This window comes from Homo sapiens, chromosome 17 (assembly GCF_000001405.40).
Source record: "Homo sapiens chromosome 17, GRCh38.p14 Primary Assembly".
In the NCBI taxonomy this organism is placed as follows: domain Eukaryota; kingdom Metazoa; phylum Chordata; class Mammalia; order Primates; family Hominidae; genus Homo; species Homo sapiens.
The window spans coordinates 21497215-21512775 of NC_000017.11; the positions used below are offsets into that span (position 1 = coordinate 21497215).

Sequence of the window (15561 nt, forward strand, 5' to 3'; positions counted from 1 at the left end):
CCCAGTCCCTGCTTCTCATGTTAGTTAAAAGCACACCAACAGGTAACTGGGAGATTCATACTGTGTAAAGTAGCAAATATTCCAGGCCAAATATTCCTTGTGGGAGGAGCAGTGATGATCTCTGCAGCTCTCCATGCAGTGGGAGGCCTCCCTTGGACTGGTCGTTAGTGAACCTGCTTCACACCCTCCACAGCTCTTCCTGCAGTCTTCCAAGGCCCCCAGACTTGCCTTGTCCCCTCTCACAGGAGTGCTCTGTCTGCCTGTTGATGCTGGAGGTGCAGGTGGGAGCTTCTCGGGCCAACTGCTGGGGTCTCTGTCTCCTCAGATCTGCTGCAGGAGAACATCTTCCTGTAACCTCATCCTGTGTGTCTGCCCATTGGCTCTGCCAACTCACGGGGTGGCTGACATACTCTGGACAAGACACCCACCAGCATGAGTTTGCCTCTTCTTTGTCACGGCAGTAAGGCTTTGTTCTAATTGTGTCACAGGAGCATTGAGGAGGACAGAAGCAGCAACTGTGACCTCCCCCTTGGCCATCAGAGGCACAGCTCTGCCCAGCTGCAGGCCACCTGCGGGCAGACCATGGCTCTCTGACACTCTGCATTTGAAAGCAAGTCTACAGTTGTCTTCCAAAGTGCTGACTCTTTTGAAACATCATCAAAAAGAAAAAAGAGGAGAGATTGGAAGAAAAGCTGTGAGATGATGGAGGCCTGAGAGGGAGAACTGAAGAAGGGTGGAGGACCTCAGGCCAGGGCCAAGAGGGACCAGCACTAAAGCCAAGGGTGGGCAGGAGCAGGGGCTTGTGGATGTCCCAACTCAGACAGTGCTGCCCTCTTGCACCATCCCTCAACATACAGGTGGGCAGTGTGACTGCCTGTGCCAAGGTGGGCAGGAAGGGGAACTGCCTCCTATCAAGGTATGGGAATTTCCTCCTGTGTAGGGAAGTGGAGAACCTATTATTTTTGCTACAACAATGTTCCTTCTCATCTTGTCTCCCTCAAATAGATGCTGGGATCCTGGCCAGGAGGTGCTGTCTTCCGGTTTTCTGTCTGTCCCTGGGCTGGAGTCTCAAGTGACAGGACAGGACACCTGGCAGACTCCTGAAAAACTCTGGCATGCCTGCAGTGTGCCCTGAAATGGACGCTGCCGTCCCTGCAACAGGGACACATGCTCCTTTCTCTAGAGTTACAGTGTCTTCAGGCTTTTCATCTTCATGGAGGTCAGTTTTTACCTTAAGTTATTAATTTTCTTACAACATTTAGCATCTTGGCAGCAGGCTGTGATGCTTGAGCGGTGCTCACACACTGAGTTCTTAGACCTGATAATGCTTATTTTAAAGTTGCAAGGTCTACTACATTGACCCGAGGAATAAAAATTAAATCTTAAGTTCCCCCAGTTGACTGATAGAACCCTCTCTTGGCCAAAGGGCCCCAGAGAAACCTTAAAAACTGAGCTCCTGGCCATGATGGGATGGGAGGTCAGATACACTTCACCATGTCCCTTCCATATTAACCTTTAGCCAGAACTCTTTCCTAAGGAGTAAGCAGAAACCAGCTCTGGCAAACAAGAAACACAGGACTCATTCCTTTATCATCTGTAGCCAATCATCTGAGGCCGTGGCTGGACTCACCCTACCTCTTTGCAGTTTTGGAGTGACAGTCACCAGCTTCACAGTGCATCCTTCCTAAAATGGACCACCGCCTCTGGACCAGTTTTGGCTGGCTCACAGAGGATGCACAGTGAGTGGTTTGTGGCCCCTGCTTCACCTTTTGATGTCAGAGGCTAAAAACTACACCCTCGCATGAACACGTGACCCATGAAGAGGCATGAAACTCAATGGCACATTCACATTTCTCCTTTCATAAATATTCATTGCTCCTCCTATAGTTTATTGAATATGTATGTTCTGCCACTCCATTCAGCATAAATTCCACACAGAATACAGTCTCTCCTTCATATCCACGGGTTCTGCATCCATGGATTCAGCCAACCTCGATTCAAAAACATTTGAAAAAAAAGAATGATTGTGTCTGTACTAAATGTACAGATTTTTTCTTGCCATTATTCTCTGAACAATACAATATAACAACTATTTACATAGCATTTACATTGTATTAGATATAAGTAATCTAGAGGTGATTTAAAGCAATCTTGTCCAACCTGTGGCCTACCCTCCAACACAAATTTGTAAACTTTCTTAAAACATTATGATTTTTTTTTTTGCGATTTTTTAAAGCTCATCAGCTATCGTTAGTGTTAGTGTATTTTATGTATGGCCCAAGACAATTCTTCTTCCATTGTGGCCCAGGAAAACCAAAAGATTGGACACCCCTGATTTAAAGCATGTGGAGGATATGTGTAGGTTATATGCAAATACTATACTTTCATATATAAGGGACTTGAGCATCCGGTAATTTTGGTGTCCAAATCACCAAAACCCTTCCAGAGGAGGAGTTTTGGGACCAATCCCTTTGAAGATACCAAAGGATAATTGTATTTCTCTGATCACTGGTCACTAAAAAGTGTAGAGATTTCTCCGCACCAACCATTCCTTCAGCAGATAACAGCTGGGTGTCTCCTAATTCAATTCCATTCTGAAACTCTCTACCTGGACAGTGTCAGACCTCACAGGTTAAGGGCTCAGTCCCACCAGACTGTCCCTGCTTCAGATGCCAGTCACAAGTAGTAGGTTGTGACCTGTGCTCCTGCCCAACTGGCTGCAAATCAGGATTCCCAGCATCCCCTCCTCGGGTTTGATTAATTTGCTACAGTGGCTCACAGAGATCAGGGAAACACTTTACTTACACTTCTTCATTTATTACAAGGGATATTTCAAAGGATGAAAATGAAGAGGCAGATGGAAGAGGTGCGCAGGGTGAGGCATCTGGGAAGGGGCTCAGAGCTCCCACACCAGCTCCAGACACACCACCCTCCAGACTCCACGTATTCAGCTATCTGGGAGCTCTCCAAACCCTGTCCTTGTGGGTTTTCACTGAAGCGGCATTACAGAGGCATCATCAACCACATCACTGGCAATTGGTGATCAGCTCAACCTTCAGTCCCTCTCGTCTCCCCAGAGGTTGGCAGGTGGGGCTAAAAGTCCCAACTCCCTAATCCCGCCTCTGTCTTTCTGGTGGCCAGCCCCCATCCTGAAGCTCTCCAGGGTCCCCAGCCACCAGTCATTTCATTAGCACACAAATGACACTCTTAGTACTCTGGAGATTCCAAGGGTTTTAGGAGCTTTTTGCCAGGAAATGGGGACGGGGATGAAGACAAAATATCTATCTCAAAATAGCACAGGAGTTTAAATTCGTAACAGGCTTTCTAACATGCAATTTGTTAAGTCATTGCATGACTTAAAAATAAGCTATTCGAAAGCTTTAGAAAGCTATTTGGAAGGAAAAGTTGGTGAGTGTTCATGAAAAGATATGGATGAGGCTGTTCATTTCAGCCTTATTTATTTGTCTATTTATTTATTTATTTTTTGAGACACAGTCTCACTCTGTTGCCTAGGCTGGAGTGCAGTGGCACAACAACGGCTCTCTGCAGCCTTGAAATCTTGGGCTCCAGTGGTTCTCCTGCCTCAGCCTTCTGAGCAGCTGGGACCACATGAGTAGGCTCCTATGCCTAGCTAATTTTTATTTTTTTATTCTTTGTAGCGACGAGGTCCCCCTGTATTGCCCAGGCTGGTCTTGAATTCCTGGGCTCACATGCCTCTCCCACCTCAACCCTCAAAGTGTTGAGATTACAGGCGTAAGCCACTATGCTTGGCCTCAGCCTTATTTGTAATGACAAAAGAAAAACAATCTGATCCATCCTATAAACTAAAAATAAAATCCTAAGCCACCCCCACTGACTGAACAGACCCCCTCTTGGCCAAGGGAATCCCAAGCCTTGTTACACTCCTTCCCTTTTGGAGTTTAGGTGCAACTGTCCAGCATTAACATTAGAGATCCTAAGACTGACAAGACAGATTCTGTGTCAATAAAAGACCAAATTATAAAGAAGACCTAAGGCCATGCCAGGTGAGGGTTTAGTCAGGCCTGCAGGCCATCAACCTTGCTACATAGCATCCTTAACTTAAAACATGCCTTTCCGCTGACATCAAATTTTAGACAGAGCTTACTCCTTTAACCAACTGCAAATTAGAGAATCTCTGAATCCATCTATAATCTGTAAACCCCTGCTTCAAGATGTCCCACATATTCAGGTCACACCAATGTACATCTTCCATGTGTTGACTTATGTCTTTGCCTAGAACTCTTTCCTCCTCAAAATATGTACAACCAAACTAACCCGAGTGCCTCGGGAGTGCTTCCTCAGGCCCTTCAAGACTGTTTCCCCAGGCCACTGTCACTCATTCACTCATAGTAAACCTTTTTCAAATATTTTACAGAGTTTGGCTTTTCCATCAATAATCCATGTCTGAGAATTCTTAAATCAGCGTTCCTCAATTTAGATTATCTATTTGCTCCTGTCACTGTTTTTGACATACCCTGATATGACCTATGCTTTTACCTAATTCTTCTTGCACATCCGCAGAGACATGTTCTGTCAGTGTCGCCTCCCAAGTGTATCATGCATCTGTCCACTTGCCGCCATCTCTCTGCTACCCCCTTACTGGGAGTCCTGTCCCTCTTACTTGATGGTAAGTGCTTTGTGCTTCTTACTTCTTGACAGTAAGCGCTTGCGAATGGTGCTTCTTCCAGCCAATTCTCTTATGCAGCAGCCAAAATCCCGTTATGGAAAAACCAAGCTTCTTCCTGCTACACAACTTTTTTACTAGCTGCACATTCAGGACAGCCAGTGTCTCATTAATTACTCAGGTCACAATTCCTATTTTTACATCAGAGGACCCTTCAATGGCTGACGTCCTGTGCAGTGCTGGCCCCTCCACACACACAGCCCCTTCCCTGCGATGTCACCCTCATAATCCTGGTAGCTATGTGCCATCAACTCATGTATTTCTTAATAAGAGCTTTAGTGAGACGTCATTTGCATTTCAAACAATTCACCACTGAAGTGTACAATTCAGCGGTTGGTAGCATATTCACAGAGCCGTGAAGCCATTATCCAGTCAATTGCAGAACATTTTCAGCATCCTGAAAGGATGCTCCCCATCCCTTCCAGACCTAAGCAACTGCTCATCTACTTTCTATTTCTACGAATTTGCCTATTCTGGACATTTCCATGAATGGGGTCATTTATGACCGGCTTCTTTCACTGAACGTGCTGTTTCTGGCGTTCACCATGGTGTGGCATTTCTCACGTGTGAATGTCGCATTGTGTGGATGGAGCACGTGTTGTTTATTCACTCATCAGTCGGTGAATATTTGGGTTGTTTCCTCTTCTTGGCTATAATGAATGATGCTGCTAAGAACATTTGTGTGCACGTTTCTGTGTGAACATGTTTTCAAGAGTTGTGCTCTTAATACATTTGAGGAAGTTTTGGTGGAAGAGACCACAAAAAATGGCATATACATCTCAGCCTTCTGTTTATATAGAAAATATTTCTTGAAGGATACATTAAAAATTCTAGCAGCATGAATGTCTCTGGATAGTGGGCCTTGGGCTAGGTATTATTTAAGAATTTATTGATTTTTTGCATTAAAGAGAAAATATTACTATTCTAATTAAAAATATTATAAGGAAGTAACATGCCACACTTTGCCTAGCTTGGTTTGCTAGTTCCACGAAGTCACTGGCCTGGCATGCCAGGCCCTGACCCTTCCTGCCTCACTCTTGGATTTGCCATAGAAGCACCTGCCATTTGCGCTCCTGCATATGGAATCTGTTTGCTCCGGCTTCAAGCCTCGTGCATTTGTCTTCTGCCTGGACGACACTTCCATCCACGCCTCTGAGAGACTGAACACTGCTCACCTTTCCCACTCACCTGGGGAGCCTTCCCTTAATCCTCGAGACTAAATTCTCTCAGACACCACATGCCATCACTCTCCTCATTCTTACCCTCATGTTGACTCCGTGTGTGTGTGTGTGTGTGTGTGTTTGTGTGTGTGTGTGTTAGAGCTGTGTGGTGCTCCTCTTGGAAACAGTTTCTGAACCCATCTGCAGGCCTGCTGCAGGAGCTTCAGAAGGCACATAGGGAGAGGGATGCTGGAGTGAAGAAGGTCTCTTTATTGGATGTTTTCTTTCTAATTTCAGGTGGTGACTTTATGCTTGGTGGATCTGAAGCAACATCCTCAAGCACAAAATCATTTTTATGATGTAAAGATCCATTTGGGGGAGCACCTGGCACCTGTCAAACACCACCCAGCTCCGCCTAGAACCGGGCTGTGTTTGACCCTGCTCTCTCCTCAGACTGTGCTCCATGTGGACACCTGTGGCTAGCTGGGTGAGGGGGAAGACTGCGGGATAAAGAGAGAAGGAGGAGGCAGGAGAAATGCACCTGGGCATGCTGCCACCCCAGGCACGCACGTGAAATCTTCGTGGATGGGCAGGAAATGCCCATCCGTAGTAGCATGGGAAGCAGCATGGGGATAAACAAAGACCACTCAAATGAGAGACGCAAAGGCCCCAGCAAGGGAGTCAGCCATCGCCAGTTGCATTTTGGTAGAAATTTCCAGGCAGACAGAGGATGGGAAAAGTTCACAGTGGAAAAAGAGGAGGCTCCAGGTGCACTCCGAGTGGAGGCTGTTGGCTTGGGGAAGCTGGGGTGGCCGACCAGAAACGGGGCCTCCTGTGTGGTCAGTTAGGGCAGCAGATTTTCTGGTTGGTTCTAAGTTGGAAGCTGGGACAAAAATTAGGGAAGCTGTTATTAGTCAAGTTCTGGCTGTTTTGGGCTGGTTGTTACAGGGCGGTGTTAGACTCCCTGGATTGACTGGAGATAGCGGGCTGGCTTCCTGCAGGTCTGACTTCTAGTGGGCTGGCTTCCTGGGCTGTTGCTGCAGATCCCAGGCTGGCTTTGGGGCTGGTTGCTGCAGATTATGGCTCAGAGTTTGATTTTTGTGTGTAGTCTCGCCACTGTCATTGTATATTCAGTCTCTCACAGGTCAGCTTATCAGCACCTGCTGGGCCACTCCAGGGCTTGCTACTTCAACCAAGGGATGGGTCTTGCAGATCTACCTTGCTAGCCCCCATTTCAGATGTGACGCTCGAGTCCTAACAAATGAAGGGCACATGTGTGGAGGCAGCTAACAGCACAGAGCCAACTTCTAGGAGAATAGGACGAGAGAACATAAAGATGTATTGAAAACCATAACTCTTGAAAACCGTAAAATCTCAATCCTCAGGCAGTGTCTGAAATAATCACAACAAAAAGTTCTTTATAAGGACAGAAAACCCACCTTTCGGCCAGAATCGCCATCTTCCAGTAATTCGCCAAAGTGACGAACACAAAGGGAAAGAGGAGAGGCACCCGATATATGTTCTCTAGGCCTTTTAGAAAACATGGAGTTGTTCCTTTGGCCACGTATATGCGAATCTATAAGAAAGGTGATATTGTAGACATCAAGGGAATGGGTACTGTTCAAAAAGGAATGCTCCACAAGTGTTACCATGGCAAAACTGGAAGAGTCTACAATGTTACCCAGCATGCTGTTGGCATTGTTGTAAACAAACAAGTTAAGGGCAAGATTCTTGCCAAGAGAATTAAGGTGCGTATTGAGCACATTAAGCACTCTGAGAGCCGAGATAGCTTCCTGAAACATGTGAAGGAAAATGATCAGAAAAAGAAAGAAGCCAAAGAGAAAGGTACCTGGGTTCAACTAAAGCGCCAGCCTGCTCCACCCAGAGAAGCAATGGGAGAACCAATGGGAGAACCAATGTAGAACCAATGGGAAGGAACCTGAGCTGCTGGAACCTCTTCCCTATGAATTCACGGCATAATAGGTGTTAAAAAAAAAAAAAAAGGCCTCTGGGCTGTAAAAAAAAAAGTAGAGAAAATCCAAAAGGAAATAATCTGTAAAGAGGCAAAACCAGCAAAATCAAGGGAGACTGAGAAATTTGAACCACAGCAACGGGACCCCACGGGATCCTAGCGTTGAGACCTTAAAGGGACCCTCGAGGACCTATCTCTAACCACAGCCTCCAGGCTGAACCTTTCTCACTGCCTTGGGGCCCTGACTTCACCAGGACCCGTGCACGGCTTAGCCCCTGCAGGAAGCCCAGGGCGTCCTGCTGGCCTTTGGTGCAGAGTCCTTGGATGGAGCAGTGGCAGTGGCTGACTGCAGACGGCGTGGCCTCATGCACTTTCTGTGTTAAATGCATAGGTGGTGGAGTGGAGAAGAAAGTGACAGGCAGAGAATGACAGATGCCCCCTCCCTGGTCTGCTGCTTCTCAGGGGAAGGTCTGCTGGGGTGACTAGGGGAGGAGGAGGCATGGCTCTGAGGCCTCCCTGCCGGCCACTCCAGGCGCTCCCAGCCCCCTGGCCTCCGGGCCCCACAGGTCCCTGAGCACCTTGCTGGGAGATCCCTGTGTCCTGGCAGTGGTGACAAAGCTCCTAAAGCCTACCTGTCAAAACTCCCAGCTCTGTGTTCAAGTATGTTTTTCAAAAAACATTGGAATGAAACTGGTAGGGTTTGCATGATCCTCGCAGTGGAGAAAAACGTTAATGACGTTGCTGGTTGGAGCCTGTGAGTGCAGCACCCCCTGCTCAGGACACACAGGCATTGGTGCTGCTGTTGCCAGTCCTGTCCCAGCCTAGCTGCCTTAGAGAGGTGCTGGAGGGTCAAACTCTGCAAAACTGCAGTTTGCCACTGGTGGGTGGCTCAGGACTCAAGGCTAGCCCCCAGCCCCAGTCCTACAAACCTTCCCCGTGGACCTGTCGTGATGCCACCCGTCACACCCCCACCCCCTGGGAGCGCTGAGGCCCAGTCCTGGCTGCCACACTCGCCATCTCCTTGCTCCCCCTAGCCAGAGGGAGGCCCAGCACCTCGTGGTCGCTTTGGGGGTTGGGGGCCCCAAGTGCCTGGGGGACATGAGTTTAAGCAGAAATGGTGCACCCGAGGCCCCAGCCGGCCGGCCGGTCCCAGCAGCGCCCCCATTTCTCACGAAGGCTGGCAGCTACAATTCGGGCGAAGTCCACCGGCCCATCTGCACCTGAGCAGCGATACTGGCCCAACAGACTCCAAGTGCCTGGATTTGCGGTGCTAAACCTGAAGGCCTTACCCTGCAGATGCAGAGGCCGCCGCGGTAGATCACAGCAGGCAGAACTCCAGGTCAGCGCTCTTCCCTGGCACCACACCAGACCGGGCTGCCGACCACCTGGGTTTCTGCTGTGCCACACTGAAGAACATTTCTCCAGGGGACACAAACACTTAGCATTCTCTACTGAAGTTTTCTCTTTTACATTTAACATCGAGGTGTGCGATTCATCTGGAGTGCATACTTCTGTGCACCGTGAGCTGGTGCCCGCAGTTTGCTGGCCGGGGGCCGGGTAGGCAGGCATGGACAAGGAGTCCAGCACTTGTGGAGGAAGCTTTGGCAGCTCACTGACCAGGCAGCGGGTGCCCGACCTGGGTCCCTCTCCCTGCGCGCCCCTCCCCCATTTCCCTTCCCACGGTCCTCACTGGTCTGCCACACTGTCTTAGGGCAATTTCCCTTTCCTCCTGCTGCTCGCCCCTTGCCTTCACAGAGCGTGTTGCATGTGCAAACCTGGGTCTCTGACTGCAGCCCACCCTGGGACCCAGCAGGAGTAGGTGGTCATTCTCCAGGAGCACGTGCGGAGGTCTGTACTCTACCCTTTCATCCTCCGAGGTTAACAATAATAATAGTTATTGTTGCTGTTGTTCATCATTATTGTAATGATTACCATTATTATTTGTTATTGTTATAAAAACACTGAATGAGATTTTCCCATCCATAAAGGGTGTCTGGTTGACTGAAGGTGAGGAAGGAGGAGTTTCAGGCTAGGAAATATTCTAATTCCTGCTGTAGCCCAGGGTCAGAGGTCAGGGGGAGTCCTCGGCCCCAGAGGTGCTGAATCAACCCTTCACTCACAGCAAGTTCCCGTGTCTCTGGGGCGAATGCCCAGGGGTTTGGTTGCTGGGTTACATGGTCCTTAGGCAGGGGAAGCAAAACTTTACCTCTACTTTACCTCTCTGGCTGGGCCTAAACTTTACCTCTCTGGCTGGGCCTAAGAGGTAAGTGGACATAAAACACATTAACAGGAGAAAAGCACACAGATTTGCACATGTAAGTGGAACCCTGTAGGAAAAAGAGATCCGAAGAAGCAGTTAGGCCTGAACGCTTATATACTAGGTTGGACAAAGAGTAAGCTGTGAAAACGTGCAAGACAATGGGGTCTGGGATAGGGCAGTTCACTGTGGAGAAGTGACGAGGCAGATGAGGGTTAGTTTAACGAGATTTGTTCATACAGATTCCCCTCGGCCCCAACTCCCTGCCTCTGATGGTAAGAATGGCTTCCTTCCTCCTGGTACAGGGAGGGCGCCTTTCCCATGGGAGATTCACCTCCTACTTTCAGGAAGAAAAAGGGGAGGTCAGGGCATCTTCCTTGTGTCTGCTGTTTTTCAAGTGCCTTTAGCTTAAAATAACCCTTATGCTAAAGTGGCATATTTTGGGGTGGCATATTCTGCCACGCTTCACTTGCACGTTTTTGTTGTTGCTGTTTTCTTTTTTGAAACTGCCACACTGTTTTCCAGAGTGGCAGTACAATATTACCTTACCACCAGCAATGTGTGAGAAAGCCTGTTCCTTCACAGCCTCACCCGCATTTGATGCTGTTCCTATATTTTGTTGAAGGCATTTGATGGATGTGTCATGACGTCTCACTGTCATTTTAATTTACACTCCCACAAAAGGCTAACGTCTTCTCATGTGCCGACTTGCCATCTGTACATCCTGCTCAGTGAAATGCTAGTTCATGTCTGTGAACTAAGTTTTCTGAAAAGGAATGTGGAAAGTGACTTTATTTCAGTGAACAGTTTGTAAATGGGGAAGTTGCAGCCTTCAGTGTAAAAGGAAAGTAAGTTCTAGAAAACTAAGAAAGGGTTTGGGTTCTATGGTAAAAGTTTCTGTCCAGGTTTCCAACTACTTTCATTTATGTAAATGAAGGACTGAAACTTGTGCTGTCCTGATCGGTGGATGTAGCTGAATCCTGATTAGTCAATACAGGTGAACCCTGATTGATGCAGTTGAGTCCTGATTGGCCAGGGCAGGGGAGTTCTGACTTGTTCTTTAAGCCTTAAGCAGAAGACTGTCAGAAATTTCTTATAAATGGCTGTCAGGGGTCCAGGGAAGTGGTGCTCAGGATACAGTTATCTTGGCACTGACAACAGGAACTGGTTTGGTTTGGTTGTGGAAGGGAGGTCTTGTGATACTTTTACAACATCTTTCTGAGAACACAGAGTACATGAAGGCTCTGTCACCCAGCTACGGCTCCCTGGTTCCATTTTAACTTTGAGCACCTCAGTTAGTCTCCTGGGAGTCATTTTTTCTTTCTGCAGGGGGCATACTTTAACATGTCTTTCATCAATTTTGTAATTGGATTTTGAAGAAAAATACCGTTGCACTTTGAGGTTTTTTTTTTTACACATTCCTGTAGAATATATGGTTTGTAAATATATTCTTCTGATCTATAATTTGTTTTCCTTCTCTTAAAAGGACCTTTCAGCTGAGTGTGGTGGCTCACGCCTGTAATCCCAGCACTTTGGGAGGCCAAGGCAGGCAGATCACGAGGTCAGGAGTTCAAGACCAGCCTGACCAATATGGTGAAACCCCGTCTATACCAAAAATACAAAAATTAGCTGGGAGTGGTGGTGCGCACCTGTAGTCCCAACTACTTGGGAGGCTGAGGCAGGAGAATCGCTTGAACCCAGCAGGAGGAGGTTGCACTGAGCCGAGATTTCATCACTGCACTCCAGCCTGGGCGACAGAGCCAGACTCCATCTCGAAAAAAAAAAAAAAAAAGAGGACCTTTCACAGAGCCTGGGGTTTTAATTTTGATGACTTCCAATTTACCCATCTCTCTTTATGAATCATGCTTTTGATGTCAAGTATAAAATCTCCTTTTTTAGCCTAGATCCCAATTTTCTCTAAGAATTTTTTTTCCTAAAATTTTATAGTTTTACATTTTACATTGAAATGTGTGATCCATTTGGAGTTAATGTTTGTATGAGGTGTGAGGGTAGAACCCCCACAATTTATCCATTAAGAAAGGTGAGGAGACTTTATTTCTCATAAGGATTACAGCCTTCAAGGTGGCCATCCCAGCCAAGGGACCAGAAACAGGCACTTCGAAGGAGGAGGGGTTAGGGTAGCAGCTTTATGCTGGGCAGATAGGCTAAACATACATATTCAACAGGTTATAGGAGGTGCTATGAATATTCATGAAGGTGGTCCTGACACATGCATATTGAACAGACATGCATGTAGCATATGACCCATGTTCACTTTGGGGTGGAGACTTAACATTTAAATGTATTACAGTTAGGTCCTATATGTCAACAGGTCTTTTCAGGGCATGAAGTCACACAAGTGTGCAGCCTCTGTAAACCAGCCAAAGACAATCCATGGTTGGTGGTCTTATCAGGAAGTTATGGCTGGTAGAGCAGGGGTTTAGTAAGTCAGTGGGTGGTGGAGCTGGAAATTGTTTTACTCTTGTCTATCTTGAGGCCAGTGGTTGTTTAGCTGCTAGAGAAAAAGAAAAGCCTTGTGGTCCTTAGAACACAGTTTATTCTTTAAGCATAGGGTTAATGACTTAACCCTTGCCTGGCATGGCCTTAGGTCCTGTTTATAATTTGGCATTTTATTGCCACAGAGTCTGTTCTGTCAGTCTTCTGATCTCTGTGTTAACATTAATGCTGGTCTAAACCCCAAAAGGCAGGGGGTATAATGAGGCGTGTTTGACCTCCCACCCCATCATGACTAGAACTAAACTTTTAAGATTTTCCTGAGGTCCCCTTGGCCAAGAGGGGGTCCATTCATTTGGTGGGGGCCTGGGATTCTAAAGTTGACAGTGTCTAGGTCAAGGGTTTTGTTTTGCGTGCTTGTTTGCTGTGCCTGTGATGTGCAATTGCCCTACTCCCATTTGATGGAAAGGCTACCTTTCCTCCCACAAGGTGCTTTTGCATGCTTGTCAAACACCAGCTGGGTGCATTTGTTTTGGTCTCTTTTCTGTTCTGTAGATCATCTCCCTCTGTCCATACCACACTGTCTTTACTAGCTATTTAACGTGTTGAAATAGGGGTAACTTAATACTTGTTTTAAATTCTTCATTTAACATTTCATCATCAACATTTATCTCATCTAAAACAAAACAAATTCACACAGTGTACGGTGTGGATGTACTGGAGTTTATTTAACCCGACCCCTCTTAATCAATGGCTATTATCCCCCACCCCAGTTTTTTTTGTTATTATAGTAAATAATGCTGAAATATTTTTAAAAGATTTTTTAAAGTTTATTTTTAATTGACAAATCATAATTGTATATATTCATGGGATACAATGTGATGTTTTGATATATGTATACATTGGTGGAACAATTACTTTAAGCTAATTAAGATATCCATCACCAACACATCTATTTTTTTGTGGTGAGATTATTTAAAATCTACTATTTAAGGAATTTTGACATATAAAATGCATTAACTACAGTCACCGTGCCATGTGGATCACTAAAACATATTCCTCTTGTCTAACTGAATCCTTGTACCCTTTGACTAACATCTTCCCCCTCCTGCCCTTCCCCCGGCCTCAAGTAGCCACCGTTCTACTCTCCGTTTCTATGAGTTCAACTATTTTCAGATTCCACATACAGGAGAGACCAGGTGGTATTTGTTTCTGTGCCTGGCTTACTTTTCTTAGTACAATGACCTCCACGTTCATCCATGTTGTCGCCAATGGCAGGATTTCCTTTTATTCAAAGGCGGGACAGTACCCCGTGGTGTACATACACCACATTTTCTTTATCCGTTCAGCCACTAGTAGATGCTTCCATATCTTGGCTAGGTTGCTTCCGTATCTTGGCTACTGTGAATGAAATCAATATTCTTATCTTATGCATAAGCGATCCCCACACTCATTTGTTATCTTTTGACTTTGCTTGTGTATTTTGTTCAAACTTTATGTTGTCAAGCCGATCAATCATTTCCTTGATGGCTTCTGGGTTTATTTAATGCTTTAGAAAGGCTTCCCCATTCCGAAAAGACAGAATAAAAGCGATTCACCCATGTTCTCCCTTTCACGGTTTCAACTTCACTGTCTCTCCCGCCGCCAGAGCCCAGCAAAACTTTCTAATCCGCGAGGAGCCCGGGACCCCGCTGCGCTGGGAAGCCGAGGCAGGGCGCCGGCCTGCGGGGGTCTTCGGAAACGTTCCCGGTTCCCGCGGAAGATCGCCCGGCCCGGAGCCGCGTGGGCTGTCTGTCCTCGCAGGTAGCAGTCACTCGGAGCAGAACGGTAGTTAGGAAAAATTTTCAAGTCTCCTTCGGCTGCGGGGTCGCGCCATTCCAGGCGGTGCCAACTGGGAGCTCCTTCACCCGCCCCAGGCCGAGAAACGCGATCCCAGTTGGTCAGGGACTAGGAGAGGCCTCGCCCGCCGGAGATGCGGATCCGATCCGCGGCCGCTGGCGCCGGCTGTCGGGCGCCACCTGGCTGCACTGTTAAGGTTTTCTCTCCGGCGCTCTGGCGAAGCCGGCAAGAAAGGGGATTTGGCCACAGGGCGCGGTGCAGAGTTCCAGGGGACTGGCAGCGCTGGCAGGATGAGCCCGGCTTTGCTGGGTGTACTCTTCGTCCTTTCGTCGGAGATTAAACCTGAGGGTCAGCGTTGTAGGCGCGCTCTTGAGCTCGGAGTGCTGTGGCCTGAGCGGGTCAATTAGTACACGCGGGAATCGCTGGGCCTTCCGAGAGTGTGAACGGGGGATGGGGTATCCCGCCCGGACGCTGACTGGCGTGGGGCCCGGTCCTCAGGCCTTCCATTACACCCATTATCTCCAAGCCCCGACCCGGAGGTGAGGACCGGCCCGGCTGTTCCAGGAGGACTGCGAAGGGTAGCATGGGCCCGTCCGTGGCCACGCGTGGGTCATGGTCATCCGACTTGAGCTTCACACCTTTTTCTGAGTCTTGTTTTGGAGGTGGAGACTGGCTTGGGCAGTACGAGAAAAACGGGGAAGGCGCAGTGGATTTAGCCGTGGCCCGCATAATGGGATCTTGTGGTTGGACTTTGGGGCCCCACCCTCCCCACCGGGGAAGAGCGTATAGCCTCTGGCTCCGAGATAGAGGGGCGACCAGATGTCCCATGGATGATCTTTGTTAGAGTTGCTGGGTCGATCAGCCTCATTTCTGCAGTTTTGATGTGGCCTCAGAAAGCTGATCAGATCGACCAGCAGCCCAACCAAGCAGATGGGCAACTAGAATTTGGGAGAGGAGAAGGGGGAAAGGCGAGGAGAGAAGGGCGTCGGGGGAGGCCTGTGGGGAGGTAAGGGTAGGGGGATGGGGGAACCTGAGATTTATATAGCAATAGTAATTGTTATAAGCAAGTATTATAAACAAATAATAATTTATTTACATTTAAAAACTATGTCAATATAAATAATATACATTTATAGAATTATAAGTATAAATTATACTTTATAAATAATAAATC

General features: G+C 47.5%; 1 pseudogene, besides 2 other annotated features; it reads left to right on the plus strand.

Annotated features, from left to right (window-relative positions):
- RPL21P120 (ribosomal protein L21 pseudogene 120) lies at positions 7304-7880 on the plus strand (annotated as a pseudogene).
- Positions 7772-8709: an enhancer, noted in NCBI's record as "H3K4me1 hESC enhancer chr17:21408312-21409246 (GRCh37/hg19 assembly coordinates)". NCBI's record gives its function as "activates a minimal SCP1, AML or CMV promoter by ChIP-STARR-seq in primed H9 embryonic stem cells {active_cell/tissue: H9 hESC(primed)}" and the evidence as "EXISTENCE:reporter gene assay evidence [ECO:0000049][PMID:30033119]".
- Positions 14396-15017: an enhancer, noted in NCBI's record as "H3K4me1 hESC enhancer chr17:21414933-21415554 (GRCh37/hg19 assembly coordinates)". NCBI's record gives its function as "activates a minimal SCP1, AML or CMV promoter by ChIP-STARR-seq in naive H9 embryonic stem cells {active_cell/tissue: H9 hESC(naive)}" and the evidence as "EXISTENCE:reporter gene assay evidence [ECO:0000049][PMID:30033119]".